Below are 16,982 nucleotides of genomic sequence, written 5' to 3'. Positions count from 1 at the left end.
AGTAGAGACGGGGTTTCACCATGTTAGCCAGGATGGTCTCGATCTCCTGACCTTGTGATCCGCCTGCCTCGGCCTCCCAAAGTGCTGGGATTACAGGCGTGAGCCACGGCGCCCGGCCGGTAAAGCAGCATCAAGATTGAGAGGATTGACTCCAATTTTGAAAGAAGTTCTACTGTGGGTAAAATGCTTATCAAACAGCATCCCATGCTTCAGAAAAATCTTTTGTGAAAGGAAGAGTCCATTGATGTGGCAACTTTATTACTGTCTTATTTTAAGAAATTGCTACAGCTACCCGAACCTTCAGCAACCACCACTCTGCTCAGTCAGCAGCCATCAAGATAGAGGCAGGACCCTCCACCAGCAAAAAGATCATGACTCCCTGAAGGCTCAAGATGATCAGGAGAATTTTTTTTAAATAAAGCATTTTTAAAGTATGCACATTTTTTAAGACACAACGCTACTGCACATTTAACAGACTATAGCATAGTGTACATATAACTTTTTCTTTTCGAGACAAGATCTCACTTTATCACCCAGGCTGGAGTGCAGTGATGCGATTACAGCTCACTGCAGCCTTGACTTTCTGGGCTCAAGCAATCCTCCTGCCTCAGCCTCCCGAGTAGCTGGGACCACTGGTGTGTGCCACCATGCCCCGCTATTTATTTTCTTTTTTTGTAGCGACAGGTTCTATGTTGCCCAGGCTGGTCCTGAACTCCTGGGCTCAAGCAATCCACCTTCCATGGCCCCAAAGTGCTGGGATTACAGGCGTGACCCATTCCACCCTGCTTACATATAACTTTTATAAGCACTGGGAAACCAATAAATTTGCGTGACTCGCCTTATTACAATATGCACTTTATTTCAGTAGTCTGGAACAAAACTTGCAGTATCCCCAAACTATGCCTAAAATGCCCTAAACAACCATGTTTATGAATACATACGTTTTAGAATTTTCTTTTGAATTTTATGCTTTTTCCCTCCTTCTTTTCTTGCATTACTAGGATCTCCAATATAGTATTGAATAGGGGGATATAGACATTGTTATCTCTTTTGCAATCTCAGGGTTCAGCTTACATCATTAGGTATGATGTCAGCTGTAAATTTTTCATGATGCTCTTTACTAAGCTGAATTACCTTCTATCTCTAGTCAGCTAAGATATTTTATCATAAATGGGTGTTGCCTTTTATTAAAAGCCTTTCTGAATGTTCTCAGGTGACTAAATGATTTTTTTCTGTATTTTGTTCAGGTAGTGAGTTTAATTAATTCATTTTTGAATACTGAACAAACCTTACATTCTAGAAATAAGGCCAACCTGGTTGTGATATATTAGCTTTCTTATTTATATTGAATTCAAATTGCTAAGGTTTTGTTAGGGACTTTTATGTCAATGTTCATGAGTGACACTGATGTGTAATTTATTCTTTTGCAATGTCTTTGTCAAGTTTAGGCAGGAGGGTCACAATTCTAAGCTGACTTGGTAAGTATTTCTATAATACCTTCTTTATTTTGTGAATGAGTTTCTCTAAGACTGGTATTACATCTTGCTTAAACATTTGGTAGAATTCAACAGTAAAGCCATTGGGGCCTGGAGTTTTCTTTGTAGGAATGTTTTTGATTATAAATTCTATTTCTTTTTCTTTCTTTTTCTTAATTTTTAAGTTCAGGGGCACATGTGAAGGTTTGTTAAATAGGTAAACTTGTGTCACGAAGTCTTGTTGTACAGACTATTTCATCGCTCAGGTATTAGGTCTAGTACTCATTAGTCATTTTTCCTGATCCTCTCCCTTCTCCCACCCTCCACTCTCCACCCTCCAATAGACCTCAGAGTCTGTTGTTCCCCTCTATGGGTCCATGTGTTGCCATCATTTAGCTCCCCTTGTAAGAACATGTGGTATTTGGTTTTCTGTTCCTGCGTTAGTTTGCTAAGGATAATGACCTCTAGCTCCATCCATGTTCCTATAAAAGACATGATCCTGTTCGTTTTTATGGCTGCACAATATTCCATGGTGTATGGGCACTACATTTTCTTTATCCAGTCCACCACTGATGAGCATTTAGGTTGATTCCATGTCTTTGTTATTGAGAACAGTGCTGCAATGAACATATGTGTACATGTGTCTTGTTTTATTTCAAATAGCTTTTGGGGTTTAAGTGTTTTTTTGTTACAAGACTGAGTTATACAGTGGTGAATTCTAAGATTTTAGTGCACCCATCAACTGAGTACTATATACACGTGGTACCTAATATATAGATTTTTATCCATATCTTCCCTCCCCCACCCCCTCGGAGTCTCTAAAGTCGATTATATCACTCTGTATGCCTTTACATACTCATAGCTTAGCTCCCACTTATAAGTGAGAACATAAGGCTTTTGGTTTTTAACTCCTGTGTTACTTCACTTAGAATAATGGCCTCCAGCTCCATCCAAGTTGCTGCAAAAAACATTATTTCGTTACTTTTAACGGCTGAGTAATATTTCATGATGTATATATGATAGAACAATTGATATTCCTTTGGGTACATACCTAGTGATGGGATTGCTGGATCAAACTGTATTTGTTTTTAGGTCTTTGAGGAATCGCCACATCATCTTCCACAATGGTTGAACTAATTTATACTCCCACCGACAGTGTGTAAGAGTTCCTTTTTCTCTGCAACCTCACCAGCATCTGTTATTTGACTTTGTAATAACAGCCATTCCAACTAGCATGAGATGGTATCTCATTGTGGTTTTGATTTGCATTTTATCTAATAATCAGTGACTTTGAGCTTTTATTCATATGCTCATTAGCCACATGTATGTCTTCTTTTGAGAAGTGTCTGTTCACGCCCTTTGCCCATTTTTTAATGGGGTTGTTTTTTTCTTGTAAATTTGTTTAAATTCCCTACAGATGCTGGATATTAAACCTTTGTCACACAATTTGGAAAAATTATCTCCCATTCTGTAGGGTGTCTGTTTACTCTCTTGGTAGTTTCTTTTGCTGTCCAGAATCTCTATAGTTTAATTAGATCCCATTTGTCATTGTTTGTTTTTGTTGCAACAGCTTTTGGCGTCTTTGTCATGAAATCCTTGCCCGCGCCCATGGTATTGCCTAGGTTGTCTTCCAGGGTTTTTATAGTTTTGGGTTTTACATTTAAGTCTTTAATCCATTTTGAGTTGATTTTTGTATATGGTGTAAGGAAAGAGTCCAGTTTTAATCTTCTGCATATGGCTAGGCAGTTATCCCAGGACCATTTATTGAATAAGGAATCCTTTCCCCCATTGCTTGTTTTTGTCAGGTTGGTGGAAGAGCAGATAGTTGTAGGTGTACAGCCTTATTTCTGGGTTCTCTATTCTGTTCCTTTGCTCTGTGTGTCTGCTTTACTACCACTACCATGCTGTTTTGGTTACTGTAGTCCTGTAGTATAGTTTGAAGTTGGGTAGCATAATGCCTCCAGCTTTGTTCTTTTTGCTTAGGATTTCCTTGGCTATTTGGGCTCTTTTTTGGTTCCATATGACAAATTCAATTTCTTTAATAGATAAAGGCCTGCTCACTTTTCTATTCCTTCTTGAGCCAGTTTTAATAAATTGTATTTTTCAAAGACTTTGTCTATTAAATTTATTGGTATAAGTTTGCTCAAAATATTGTCTTATCTTTTTACGTGTCTTTAGAAACTGGAGTGATAACCCCTCTCTCGTTCCAGGTATTGGCAATTCATGTGCCTTCCTGTTTCCCTTGATCCATTTGGTAGGGACCTATCAATTTTTTTTTAATTCTTTAAAGAACCCGGTTATGAATTTTGTGAATTTTCTGTTGATTCTCTGTCTTCTATGTGTTTGATTTCTGTTATCTTTAATATTTCCGTTATCCTACTTACTGTGGTTTACTCTGCTTCTTTTTCTGGTACCTTAGTGTAGAAACTAAGATCAATGAATTTCAACTTTTCTTCTTTTCTAATACAGGTATATAAGGGTAAAAATTTCATTCTAACCACTTTTTCAACTGTGAAACACAAAACTTCACATTTGAATTTTCATTCAGTTCAAAACGAGTCCTAACATTCCTTCTTCTCTAAGCCATGGTATTTAGAATTATGTTATCTAATTTCCAAACATTTTCTAAGTATCTTATTAACTTCTAACTGAATTCTACTGTGGTTAGAGAACAACTTTAGCATATCTCAGTCTTCTGAAATTTACTGAGACTTACTTTTAAGGCCCAGCATATGGTCTGTATCTGTGAAACTTCCATATGCACTTAAAAAACATATATTTTCTTCAGTTGTTAGATGTAGTATTCTATAAATGTTAAATAAGTCAAGTTAATAGTCTTTAGATCTTCTATATTTCTGATTGCTTTTGTTTGTTTAGTAATTCTATCAGTTTCTAAGGAATAGAGGTCAAAATCCCCAGTAATGACTGGTGACCACAGATTTGTTTTACCTTTAGTTCTGTCGGTCTGTCCTTCATGAATTTTGAAGCTCTATTAGATATATATTTATTAGGATTATTATGTCATTTGGATGTGTTGTCCCCTTTATCTTTATTATATGGTCTTTTCTTATCTCTGGGAATACTCTTTGTCTGATATTAATATAGCTATGCCAGGTTTCTTAGGATTACTATTTCCAAGAAGTACCTTTTTCCGTTAATTCCAGCCAGTGTTTATGATAGTACAGGTCTTATGTACAGCATACAGTTGAGCCTTGCTTTTTTTTTTCTAATCTAGTATCTCTGTCCTTTACTTGGTGTGTTTACTATATTTCATTTTGCCATAAATATTGATATGGTTGAATTTATGTCATTCATTTGTTGTTTCTGTTCTTTATTTGTTGTTCCTTTTCTGCCTTTATTGGTTGGATAAATGAAACAATTTTTAGCATTGCATTTTATTTCCTCTGTTAGCTCTTCAGGTGCTTTTTCTTTGTTTGTTTGTTTTTTTTTTTTTTGTGACAGAGTCTCGTTCTGTCGTCCAGGCTGGAGTGCAGTGGCGCCATCTTGGCTCACTGCAACCTCTGCCTCCCAGGTTCAAGCAATTCTCCTGCCTCAGAATCCCGAGTAGCTGGGATAACAGACACCCGCCACCACACCCGGCTAGTTTTTGTATTTTTAGTAGAGATGGGGGTTTCACCACGTTGGCCAAGCTGGTCTCAAACTCCTGACCTCAAGTGATCCGTGCGCCTTGGGCTCCCAAAGTGCTGGGATTACAGGCCTGAGCCATGGTGCCTGGCCGCTCTTCAGGGTTTTTAAAATTTTTGTTGTTATTATTTTGGTAGTTGCTCTACAGCTAACAACATGCACCTTATCAAAGTCTATTTAGATTAGAAATTGTACTACTTCACATCGAACACTTCGTAATCTATCTTTCTTTCTCTCTTTCCTTTCTTCTTTTTTTTGTTAGAGACCAGGTTTTACTCTGTCAACCATGCTAGTGTGCAGTGGCACAAACAGAACTCAGTGTAAACTCAAAATCCTGGGCTCAAGTGATCCTCCAGTCTCAGCTTCCCAAAGCACTGGGATCACAGGCATGAGTCACCATGCCCAGCCAACAGTTCATATTTTCTACTTCACGAACGTAAGAACCTTACAATTCTACCTCCTAATATTTTGGGATACTGTTGTCCCATCTTTCACTTTTACACATATTATAAATGCCAACTCATCATGTTATTTTTGCTTTAAATGGTTAGTTGTCTTTTAAGGGAATTCTGAGAAGAAAAAATACATTTTCTATATGTATCAACTGATTTACCATGTCTGTGTTTTTTTTTTTTTTTTTGGCAGGGGGACAGAGTCTCACTCTATCACCCAGGCTGGAGTGCAGTGGTGTGATCTTGGCTTACTACAGCCTCCGTGTCCTGGGCCCAGGAATCCTCAGTCTCAGCCTCCCAAGTAATTGGAACAAGAGTATGAGCCACCATCCTCAGCTAATTTTTTTTTTTTTTTTTTTTTTGTAGAAACAGGGTTTCGTCATGTTGTCTAGGCTGGTCTCAGACTCCTGGACTCAAGTGATCCTCCCACCTTGGCCTCTCAAAGCGTTGAGATTACAGGCATGAGCCACAGTGCCCGGCCCATGTCTGGTGTTCTTCATTCCTTCCTGTAGATTCATGCTCCCATCTGGATTCATTTCCCTTCAGCTTGAAGAACACTCATTAGCATTTCTTCTAGAGTGCTTTCTAGAGATGAATTCTTTTCATATTTGTTTATATGAAATTGTCTTTATTTAATCCTAGTTTTTAAAGGATCTTTTTCTTTGCTTACAGAATTTTAGGCTAATTTTTTTTTTTTTTTTTAGTACCCTGAAAGAAGTTCCATTGTCTTCAGGTCCTCACTGTTTCTGATAAGGACTCAGCTATCATAGTTTCCCTTTATGCACTGTGCCTTTTTTCTTAGGCTGCTTTTATTTTTCTCTGCATATTTTGTTTCCAGCAACTGGACTATGGTATTTCTAGTTGTGATTTTTTTATTTTTTGTATTTATCCTGCTTGGTTTCACTTAGTTTCTGGGATTTGTAAATCAAAGATTCATGGTTTCAAATTAAATTATAGAAATATGTTGGCCATTTTTAAAAACTGTCTTTCATCTGCTTCATTCTCACTCTTTTATCCTTCTAGTGTTCCACATGTATGTTAACCCATTTGAAATTGTCCTACATGTCACTGAGGCTCTGTTCATTCGGTAAAAATCCTTTCACTCCCTGTTCTACAGATTGAATAATTTCAATTGATCTATTTTGAAGTTCACTGACTCTTTCTTTTGACAGCTCTAATTTTCCATTAAGACTATCCAATAGGCTGGGCACGGTGGCTGACGCCTGTAATCCCAGCACTTTGGGAGGCCAACCTGAGGTTGGGAGTTTGAGACCAGCCTGACCAACATGGAAAAACCTCGCCTCTACTAAAAATACAAAATTAGCTGGCTGTGATGGCGCATGCCTGTAATCCCAGCTACTCGGGAGGCTGAGGCAGGAGGATCGCCTGAACCCAGGAGGCGGAGGTTGCAGTGAGCCGAGATGGCGCCACTGCACTCCAGCCTGGGGGACAAGAGCGACACTCCATCTCAAAAAAAAAAAAAAAAAAAAAAAAAAAAAGACTATCCAATAAATGTTTCATTTCTATTTCAATTATCAAATTTCCATTTTCATTTTATGATTATTACTTTTTTGAGATAGGGTCTCATTTTGTTGCCCAGGCCGGAGTATGCTGGCACAATCAAAGTTCACTGCAGCCTCAATCTCCCAGGCTCAAGCAATCCTCTCACCTCACCCTCCCAAGTAGTTGGGACTATAGGTGTGCACCACCACACCTGGCTGGTATTTAAAAACATTTTTGTAGAGACAGGTTCTCACTATGTCAAATTTCCATTTTAAAATACTTTTCCTTTCTCTGTTGAGATTTCCTATCTATTCCATCATCAACATGACATTTTTCTTTAATTCTTTAATGTATAAGGGTGAATTTAGTTGTTTTTTTTTTTTTTTTCTGTTAAACCAAATAGGACTCCTCAGAGGTGATTTCTACTGCATGCTCTTTTCTGCTCTATAGATCATATGTTCCTGATTCTTTGCATGTCTGGTAATTAAAAGTTCAACATGGGATATATTGCAAATATGGTTCTGTTAATTTCTTCTGAGGAGCAGTGATTTTTATTCTAGTACATATAAGTCAGTTAATAGTTGACTCCTTGAACTTGTATAGGTTTGGATTTAACCTTTGGTATGCTGATCTGCTGAAAGCTCAGGATATTTCCCAGGCTTCTCTATCTCGGTGAGACTCATTGTCCAAATTTGGTCTACCCTGTAAGAATTAATTGGGGCCTTCTTTTACTAGTCTTAGCCTGGGTCTAGAGTAGGCCTTATATTAGAGCATGGTCCTTGTTCCTCAAACCTATCTTTTGTGTTATCTCAGCTAGATAACTGAAGTTAACAAGGATTTCTCCATGTTGACTGGGTTGGAACTCCAGATTCCCCACGGCTCTATCTCTAATATTACAATTCCACTCTCATTCTGTAGCATCTAATCTCTGGTAAGCCTTGGGCAGTCTCATTCAGTGAACACGTAGCCTAGTCCTCAGCCAGGAATCATGATACCTGGCTTCCAACTTCTCCTCAGTATACTGTGCTTGTATATGAATTACTTCCCTGATTTACACAGGACATTTACAACTACAGAATCAGGGGACCTCAGGAGGTCATCTGGCCAAAGTCCACAATTTTTAAATCGATGGGGGACCTTTCGAATCTGAGTGAGAAAACTGCAGACCTGAAAAGCTAAGTGATTTCTCCAGGTACGAACACAAAAGCACAAATTGGATTTTCAGTTGTAAATGTCATGCTTTGCAAGCACATTCAGCTTTACCAACTTCAACGTGCTTTTTTAAAATCTCATTTGATCCGTACAACAACTTCATGAGGTGGGTCTAAGTCTTACTATGCCTGCTTCACGGGTAAGCAAACTGGCCCAAAATGTAAGCAAATCCTTTGCTACACAGACCATCTTCTAATCCTCTTTCATTCAGTAACTTCTGGAAGAAAAGCTTATGATTAAATGGATAGATTACTATCTTTGACATCCATAGCTTGAGGGGAGTTTTACCTATTTGGAGAGTGAGTAGCTACCTATAAGGTACACTCTGGAGAACAATGAAAAAGATGGTCCTGAAAGGAAAATTAAAAAACAAAAAACATCAAAAATCCAAACAAAACCAAAAAAACCTGCCATACTGGTAAATTATATATCAGATTTTCTTCAACTGGGTATTGCAATTAGGTTAACGCATCAGGTTACCTACCTACAATAATTAACCTTTTAAATGATTCATTTATATTTAACAAAAGGGATGAGGGTTGATCCTATACCTCCAACAGAGAAAAAAAGAAAAGATAAGGAAAAAGTAGGACAATAATCTCACTTCCTTCCTTTTGTGAGGAGTAGATGACAGACAGTCTTAATTTCATCCCTACACAGGTAAGCACATTTTTACACGTGAACCATATATTGATAGAGAGAGAGAAAGAATTTTGAAAGCTGAAAACAAGAGGGACTTTCGGAGCCTTTATCTGAAAAGTTTAGTTCTTTATTTGTTACTTAGACCTTATTCCAGCCACTTGAGGCTTTTTACATAAGAAAATGATTAAAAAGCATGGATTTTTTTTTAAACATGGTTTCTTCTATTTGGAAGTTATGTCTGATCTTAAAAAGCTAAAATGTGGAATAAGTTTAAAATTTAAAGAAGGAGAAAGGCAAAGAACATTTAGGGTTATTTGTAATTTATTCCAATTCATGTCACAAGAAAGTAAAGAAATGTCTATAGGGTGGGCCGTATAAAAGCACTGAATATCAGGGCAGAAAAAAGGGAAGCAGAATGAGAGAGTTAAGCAAAACTGAGGAGGAGTCCCAAGGGATAGTTGATTGTAGATATAAACTTTGCTTCATAATTTTAACTAGTCCCAGACCCACCAATGCTATTTGTTTATAGCTATACTGTACAACATATTGTTTTCTTTTTCAAGTGTAAAATAATTTTATATTATGTGGGTTTCCTACATAACATTCAACCTCAGTATTCTAGCCCATTGTGAAAAATGCTTCCAAGTCCACTAAAAGTCCTTTATCATATGTCTACAGACTTAAAAAAAATGGCTTTTGGTGGAAGTATAAATAAATATGGCTTTGTGAAGAGTAAACATGCTCTTATGTAACTCAGAATGCATTTTCATTTTTATTTTCCCCCCTAAATTGTTACTAGGATATAATTTGGTTAACTATTTACAATTTTGTGGTTAATTTGGAACACCATGTCATAAATCCCTAATGAGATTTTTTTAGAATGTGAACAACCCCACAATTTTTTTTTTTTTTTTGAGACAGAGTTTCACTCTTGTTGCCCAGGCGGGAGTGCAATGGCACGATCTCGGCTCACTGCAACCTCCGCCTCCTGGGTTCAAGTGATTCTCCTGCCTCGGCCTCCTGAGTAGCTGGGATTACAGGCGCACGCCACCACGCCTGGCTAATTGTTGTTGTTGTTGTTGTTGTTGTTTGAGATGGAGTTTTGCTCTGTCGCCCAGGCTGGAGTGCAGTGGCACGATCTCAGCTCACTGCAAGCTCCGCCTCCTGGGTTGATGCTATTCTCCCGCCTCAGCCTCCCGAGTAGCTGGGACTACAGGCGCCCGCCACCACGCCTGGCTAATGTTTTGTATTTTTAGTAGAGACGGGGTTCACCGTGTTAGCCAGGATGGTCTCAATCTTCTGACCTCGTGATCTGCCCGCCTCAGCCTCCCAAAGTGCTGGGATTATAGGCATGAGCCACCGTGCCCAGCCATGCCTGGTTAATTTTTTTTTTTTTTTTTGAGATGGAGTCTTGCTCTGTCACCCAGGCTGGAGTGCAATGGTGCAATCTCAGCTCACTGCAACCTCCGCCTTCCAGGTTCAAGTGATTCTCCTGCCTCAGCCTCCAGAGTAGCTGGGATTACAGTGTGCGCCACCACACCCAGCTAATTTTTGTACTTTTAGTAGAGACGAGGGTTCACCATGTTGGCCAGGATGGTCTCAAACTCCTGACCTTGTGATCCACCAGCCTCGGCCTCCCAAAGTGCTGGGATTACAGGCGTGAGCCACCACGTCCAGCCAATTTTTTATATTTTCAGTAGAGACGGGGTTTCACCATGTTGGCCAGGCTGGTCTAGAACTCCTGACCTCAGGTGATCCACCCGCCTCGGCCTCCCAAAGTGTTGGGATTACAGGTGTGAACCACCGTGCCCGGCCTGTTAACAGCTCTCTTAATCACAATTGTACTCTACTTTTCTCTCCTAACAGTCAATAATTTTTTAAATGTCAGAATTTAGTACTGGACTCTTCTTAGGTACATATGAAAATTTATTCTCTGTTTGTGGGAGACCTTTTTTTGGCCAGAAAGCATCTCATGAGTATATAATTTAACACAGAGATATTTGGATTTCTCTGCCAGCTTTACTTGTTTCCAGAGAAGACCAGTCTTCTAAACATGTCTGTCTAGTCAGTTCAGGAGATTCTAATATTTTTCCTTTTTCACCTGTGTTGACATCATCTTTTAAATCATATTTATTTATTTTTTAAGCTCCCAATGAGTATAGTGATTTAACTTCTACTCGTTGGTTTCATTCTTTGAATGACTTACAACTAACTGCCTGCATATAGGAGGCTACCTATTGAATAGCTCTAAACTCTCAATGAAACCAAAGAGCTCTGCCACCCCTTCCCTGAACAAACCAGTTGTCAGGGCAGTCAAATTCACAGCTTAATAAAAATTTTATTAAAAATAAAAAATGGACTTGTAAAATTTATTCTGAATGCTAATGTAGGGTGGGCCTGCAGGAGGAGTTTGAATGCAGGGCAGTGTCGAATGAACTAGTTCATCTAGAATTCTTAACAGTGAACCTCATGACCTCAACTGATACTTAAAATTTATTACAGTTATTACAGTTGTTATTTTATTATTTTTCCCCTGCTCCCTTTTATCCTTTCTTTCTTAAGGGAAAAACGCTAACATAAAAGTGGAATAAAAAAGTAATGGTTAACAAAACCACAGCATAAGGAAGAGAAGACCCATTGTGGGATCTGCCAATTAAAACGTTCCTCCTCTCCAGGGCTGGCTATAACCAACGCAAATGTTTCCAATGCACCACTGGCAGGCTACCAAGTGAACCGTTTTACGTCTCCCCAAACTTACGGTCACCATTTATCTGTAACAGACGCTCAAAAATTACATTAATATATGCTAGGAATGGAAAATAGCTATTAAATCATTTCTCTTGGCTTGATGAAGTCAGGATTATTCCAGAAAACAAAGCTATTCTAGTGCTTTGCTGAAGAATTTTCTATGCAAATGGGCCAACTACCTTTTCCTGAGGGAAGACTCTGTCTTATTCTAGCTCCAGAGTCACACATACGCATGTTTCAGTCTCCCTGCACACTTCATTCCCCTCATATTTCTGCCTCTCAAGTTCTCTAGGTAGACTAAATCTTTTCACTTGTTCAATGATCAATAATTGAATAATTTAAACCTTTAAAATATGGTGGGTCCTGCAGTGACTACAGAGTGAAGAATCTAGTGTCATTGCCAACAGTCACAGGGAGGACTTTCCTTTCTCTACTTAAACCTGCAAGCTTTTTTCTGATGATGCTACTCGGAACTCTAACCTCTCTTAATTCTCCCCCTATGCCAATCCACTTCCGGCTTCACTTACACATTACTTCCAAGACATATCACTCATAATGCTTTTCTAAAAGGACAGAATCTCGTAGCCTTGCACTATAGCCCAAGAACGTGAAAGCACAGAGGACACCTCAACATTCTTGGGTTGCAGTCACAATATCACAATCATCATGTCCCATGAGAATTCATGCTAAGGTATTATGGCAAGATTCTGTACAGCTCTATTATTCAGGTATTCAAAGTTTACTGATAGTTCAAAGTAGCAGAAAAGTAAACTGATGTCAGTTTAAAGCACTAGTTGGAGTGAAAAAATTTTATTTTAGGCCAAAGACAGACTGTGCATTTATGCAGAGAAGAAGTGAGCAAGGGTCACGTGAGAAAGAACTGACAGTGAAAGGCTGCTGAGGCGGGGACTTGAAATCTGTGACAGAAAGAAGAATCTGGCCTTATGAAGGAGAAAAAAACCTATTCTCTGAGACAGAAAAGAAGACAACAAAAATAAAGATAACTGCTCACAGAACGAGGGTAACTGAGGGTAACTGAGGGATCCCAGGATAGACCTGGTTTCAGTAAAATAGCAGTAGGGTCTTTAGGTAAGGGGAAGGATTAGGAATGGTAAATGAGAGGGTACAACTGGATTTTCAAAAGACACATGTTTGTTTTAAACAGAAGGTCACTGAGAAGTAAAAGAAACATCTACTATGTATTAGCAGATGTATACATGCTTCACAACAGATTATGGTCTCAGCAACCTACAAAATGTGGGGGAAGCAGGAAAATGTGTATAGCAAAGCTCTGCTAAAAGTGACAATTTTCTAAAAATTGGCTTCCAGTGTGGCAAAATGGTAACTACTGAATCTTGGAGACAGGTATATGGGGGTTCATTCTCTCTACCTGTGTGTACCTTTGGAAATGTTTACAATAAAAAATGTGTTTAAAAATTGCCTAGTCTTCATACAACCTCAGAACCAACAGCCCTCTTCCCCAGTAAGCTCGCCATTTTGCCTGAACTTTCCAGAAGATTTTAGGAATTTCAGAGAGGTAATTACACACAGATATGTATAAGCCAGAGGATTTAAAAATCATTAAAGAGGAACCAAAAATATTTCTATTTGATCAGGATTTGTTCCACCTTTGACCAAATTTATTCTAGAGAGTGAGAAATACAAGTTAGCACTAAAATTAAGTAAGTGTATTGGGGTAAAACACAGAGCCAGAAGATGAATGCAGGGAGAAAAAGTATTTCCACTAAGCATATGCTTGAAGAATAAGACTACAAACACTTACTTCATCTCCAGAACTTCCTCTAAGTGTTTCCTTCTCTCTGCCCGAAGATTAGTCAAGTGAGTTTCCTTTTCTGCCAGAGACTGCTGGGTGGAGGACAGCTTTGCTTTCATGGATTCTAGTTCCTGCTTTACCTTCTCCATGGCCATCAGTAACTCCTCCACCTATCATAAATATGGGAAAGAGAACAACAGAGTGTCTTGATCAATCAGAGTCAGAGGACCTGGGTAACACGCAACTCCTGGGTCCAGAAAATTGAAGAGACGCAGGAACACATTGAAAATTCTGTACTCTTTCTGGATCAGTTATGTGTGTGTATATATCAAGAATCAATATAGCAGATAATAACATCCCTACAGTATAATTCTTTTCAGCTTAGGTCAGAAAGAACTTAATACATGCAAGGGCATACAAGTTATCAGTTTAAGAAGTCGCACGCTGCCACAGACAATACCTTTTAAGGAAGTTCTTTGGAAATGACCCAGAAATTTCCATGGAAATAATACAATACAAATATAAAAAAATATACAGAACGATTTTAGGAAATAAAAGACATAAACTTGGCAAATAACAGATTTCCTGTATACATAGACGAATAATTTTTAGTCCTCTAAACTAAAATTTTCCTATTTACATCATTAAGAAGAATTTCTTTTTAAAGAAACTGCTAGAATTCAATCAGACAATTTCTTGCTCTAAATCCAGGTAGGTAGGGTTTCTTTTTTAAGGAAGGCAGGAAGGAAATATAACCCTATATACCTATATAACTATACAGGCATATATATACCTATATACTACATAGGCAGTGTATATATATATATTATATATATACTATATATTATATAGGCAGGAAGGAAATATATCCCTATATACCTATATAGTTATGTGTGTGTGTGTGTGTGTGTGTGTGTGTGTGTGTGTGTGTGTGTGTACATACCAGATAGAAAGGAGACAGAATGCTTTAAAAATGACATGGGGAAAAAAAAAAAGCCTTGACAGCAACAGACCTGAAAAACAACAAACAAAAAGCCACCAGAGAAGACAGACAAAATGCTAAAACATAAGGAAAAGAAACTAAGAGAGCAAGGTAAGTACTTTATCAGTAATTTCCACTTATTCCAGGTGGCTACCAAATCAGAATTATTTAAATAAACTTGTTCATTTTAATTCAGAAGCAAATGTAATCAAACAGCCAACTGCATCAATTACAAGACTTTATGTTAGGTTGTTAATTGCCAAGAAATAATCTTGGTAATAACCAGTCTTTTCAGAAGTAGAAGGTAGGGCAGGTAGAGGTGGGGCATTTGCCATTCATTGACTCCTACATAAACCCCATTTGTGTGATACTAAAACAGAGAAACCTAGAGTCAAAAATCAGCATGACAAATCAAAGTTGTTTCACTGACCCTTGGAAATTAGTGCTTCCTACCTAAACAAAGTTTCCACGTTGATTGGTAACAGCTGTTAAACAATGATAGTAAGCAAATGCATTTAGTTTTTTTGGCACCTGAATTTTTTTATCCTTCCAGAAGTGAGCAAGTTAAATGTCTTCAGCTAACAGCATCCTCACAGTCCCAGTTGCCATAAGAATATATTGTTACGGCCGGGCGCTGTGGCTCGTGCCTGTAATCTCAGCACTTTGGGAGGCCAAGGCCGGTGGATCACCTGAGGTCAGGAGTTCGAGACTAGCCTGGCCAACATGGCAAAACCCTGTCTCTACTAAACAAACAAACAAACAAAAAAGAGAATATATTGCTATGTAATATACTGGGATATGTATTTGCATATCTGCAAGCTTTACATGAACATATACCATTGATTCCATTTTATCAGTTTAATTCATGTAAAATTTTATCTAAAACTGGGTACAAATAATACACCAAGCTATGTTTTTATAACATAAAATCAGTAATGGATAAGAACCATAATCTATACTGATCTACAGGTTCAACATAATCTCTATGAAAATCTGAGCTGTTGTCTTTTTCAAGATGTTTTTGGCTATTCTGGCTCCTTTTTATTTCCATGTGAATTTGAGAATCAGCTTGTCAATTTCTGCAAAAAAACTCAGAGCCAACCATGCTCACCCTCCATGTATGTGAACGAGAAATAAATGCTTGGTATTGTCTGTACCTTAGTCAGAATTCTCCAGAGAAACAGAGTGTATATGTGTAAATAAAGACTTATTATAAGAAACTGGCTCATGAATCACAAGATCTATAGGGTGAACTGGCAAGCTGGAGACCCAGGAAAGCCAGTGGCATAGTTCCAACCCAAATCCAAAGGCTTGAAAAGCCAGGAGAGCCAATGGTATAGCTCCAGTCTGAAGGCGAGCAGGCTCCAGACCCAGGAAGAGCCAGGGTTTCAGTCTGAGTCTGAATGAATGCAAGGAAAAGCTAATGTCCCAGTTCGAAGGCAGTCAGGCAGAGGGAATTCTCTCTCACTTGGGAAAGATCAGAGTTTTGTTCTACTCAGGCCTTTAACTGACTGGATAAGGCCCACCCACATCAGGGAGGGCAATCCACTATACTCAATTTTGCTGACTTAAATGTTAGTCTCATCCCCAAATACCCTCACAGAAACACCCAGAATACTGTCGGAGCAAGTATCCGGGCACCCCGTAGCCAGTCAAGTCAACATATAAAGTTAACCATCACAATATGCTACTGATATTTTGTGGTTGTTCGTTATACAATATCTGATTGATAAACTTTGTAAGAGTTTTAAAGTATTGCTTTTCATGTTTAGTCCTTAATCCATCTGGAATTCATTTTTGTATATGGTATGAGGCAGGGGTCTGATTTCATTTTTCCCCATATGGATAGCCAATGTGCAGTACCATTTATTTAAAAATCTATTCTATCTTAACCTTTGATATATATCAAGTATACTCACAAGCATGGATATTTCTGCACTTTCTATTATGATCCACTCTTTTGCCTAGTCCTGTACCAATACTACATTCATTATCTTAATTATTATCACTTTATAAGGCTTGATATCTAATAAGTCTCAGCTTGTTCTCTTCAAGAGCATCTTAGCTATTCTTGAACTTCTGCAAAAATATTTAGATTTTATCATATGCCAGGTACTGTTCTAGAACACGTAATGAACTAGATATATTTTTAGAACTTTAATATCTTTCATAAAGTTTAATAATTTTTCTCATTAAAATGTTAAACATCCTAATAATATTTATTCCTAGGTACTTTATATGCTTAATTTTCTAGTAAACAGTATCGTTTTTACAAAAAATGTAAATTTTCTGTTCAGTGCAGATTACGGAAATTGAATCTGTATCTAGCAGTCTTCTTAAATGCTCTTACTGACAGATTTTGAAGTTTACTATATAGACAAATATGGTAGTTTTCTTTCTTTTCTTGTAATTCTTATAATATTCACTTCTTTCACTTGCCATGCTGCATAATCTAGAATGACTACTACAACGCTGTACAGACATGGTGATAGCATGCATTCTATTTTATTCCTATCTTTAAAAAGAATCCTTTATAAGTTTTATCTACA

The 16,982-nt window shown here is 38.0% G+C and overlaps 1 protein-coding gene across 54 annotated transcripts in view; it reads right to left on the bottom strand.

The window, feature by feature from the left end:
* ERC1 (ELKS/RAB6-interacting/CAST family member 1) overlaps positions 1 to 16,982 on the bottom strand; it is a 505,975-nt gene that overhangs the window by 192,461 nt on the left and 296,532 nt on the right. For all 54 annotated transcript variants that reach the window (NR_027948.3, NR_027946.3, NR_027949.3 and 51 more), the window contains one exon: positions 13,461 to 13,621. Coding sequence is in view for 50 of the 54 variants with exons in the window: in XM_047428566.1 (XP_047284522.1) it covers positions 13,461 to 13,621 (161 nt within the window). In the remaining 4 variants the exon portion in view is untranslated. The remainder of the gene's footprint in view (positions 1 to 13,460; positions 13,622 to 16,982) is intronic.

Source organism: Homo sapiens, chromosome 12 (genome assembly GCF_000001405.40).
Source record: "Homo sapiens chromosome 12, GRCh38.p14 Primary Assembly".
Lineage (NCBI taxonomy): Eukaryota > Metazoa > Chordata > Mammalia > Primates > Hominidae > Homo > Homo sapiens.
The sequence above is the reverse complement of the archived record's forward strand: the minus strand, read 5'-3'. Positions and strand labels throughout refer to the sequence as shown.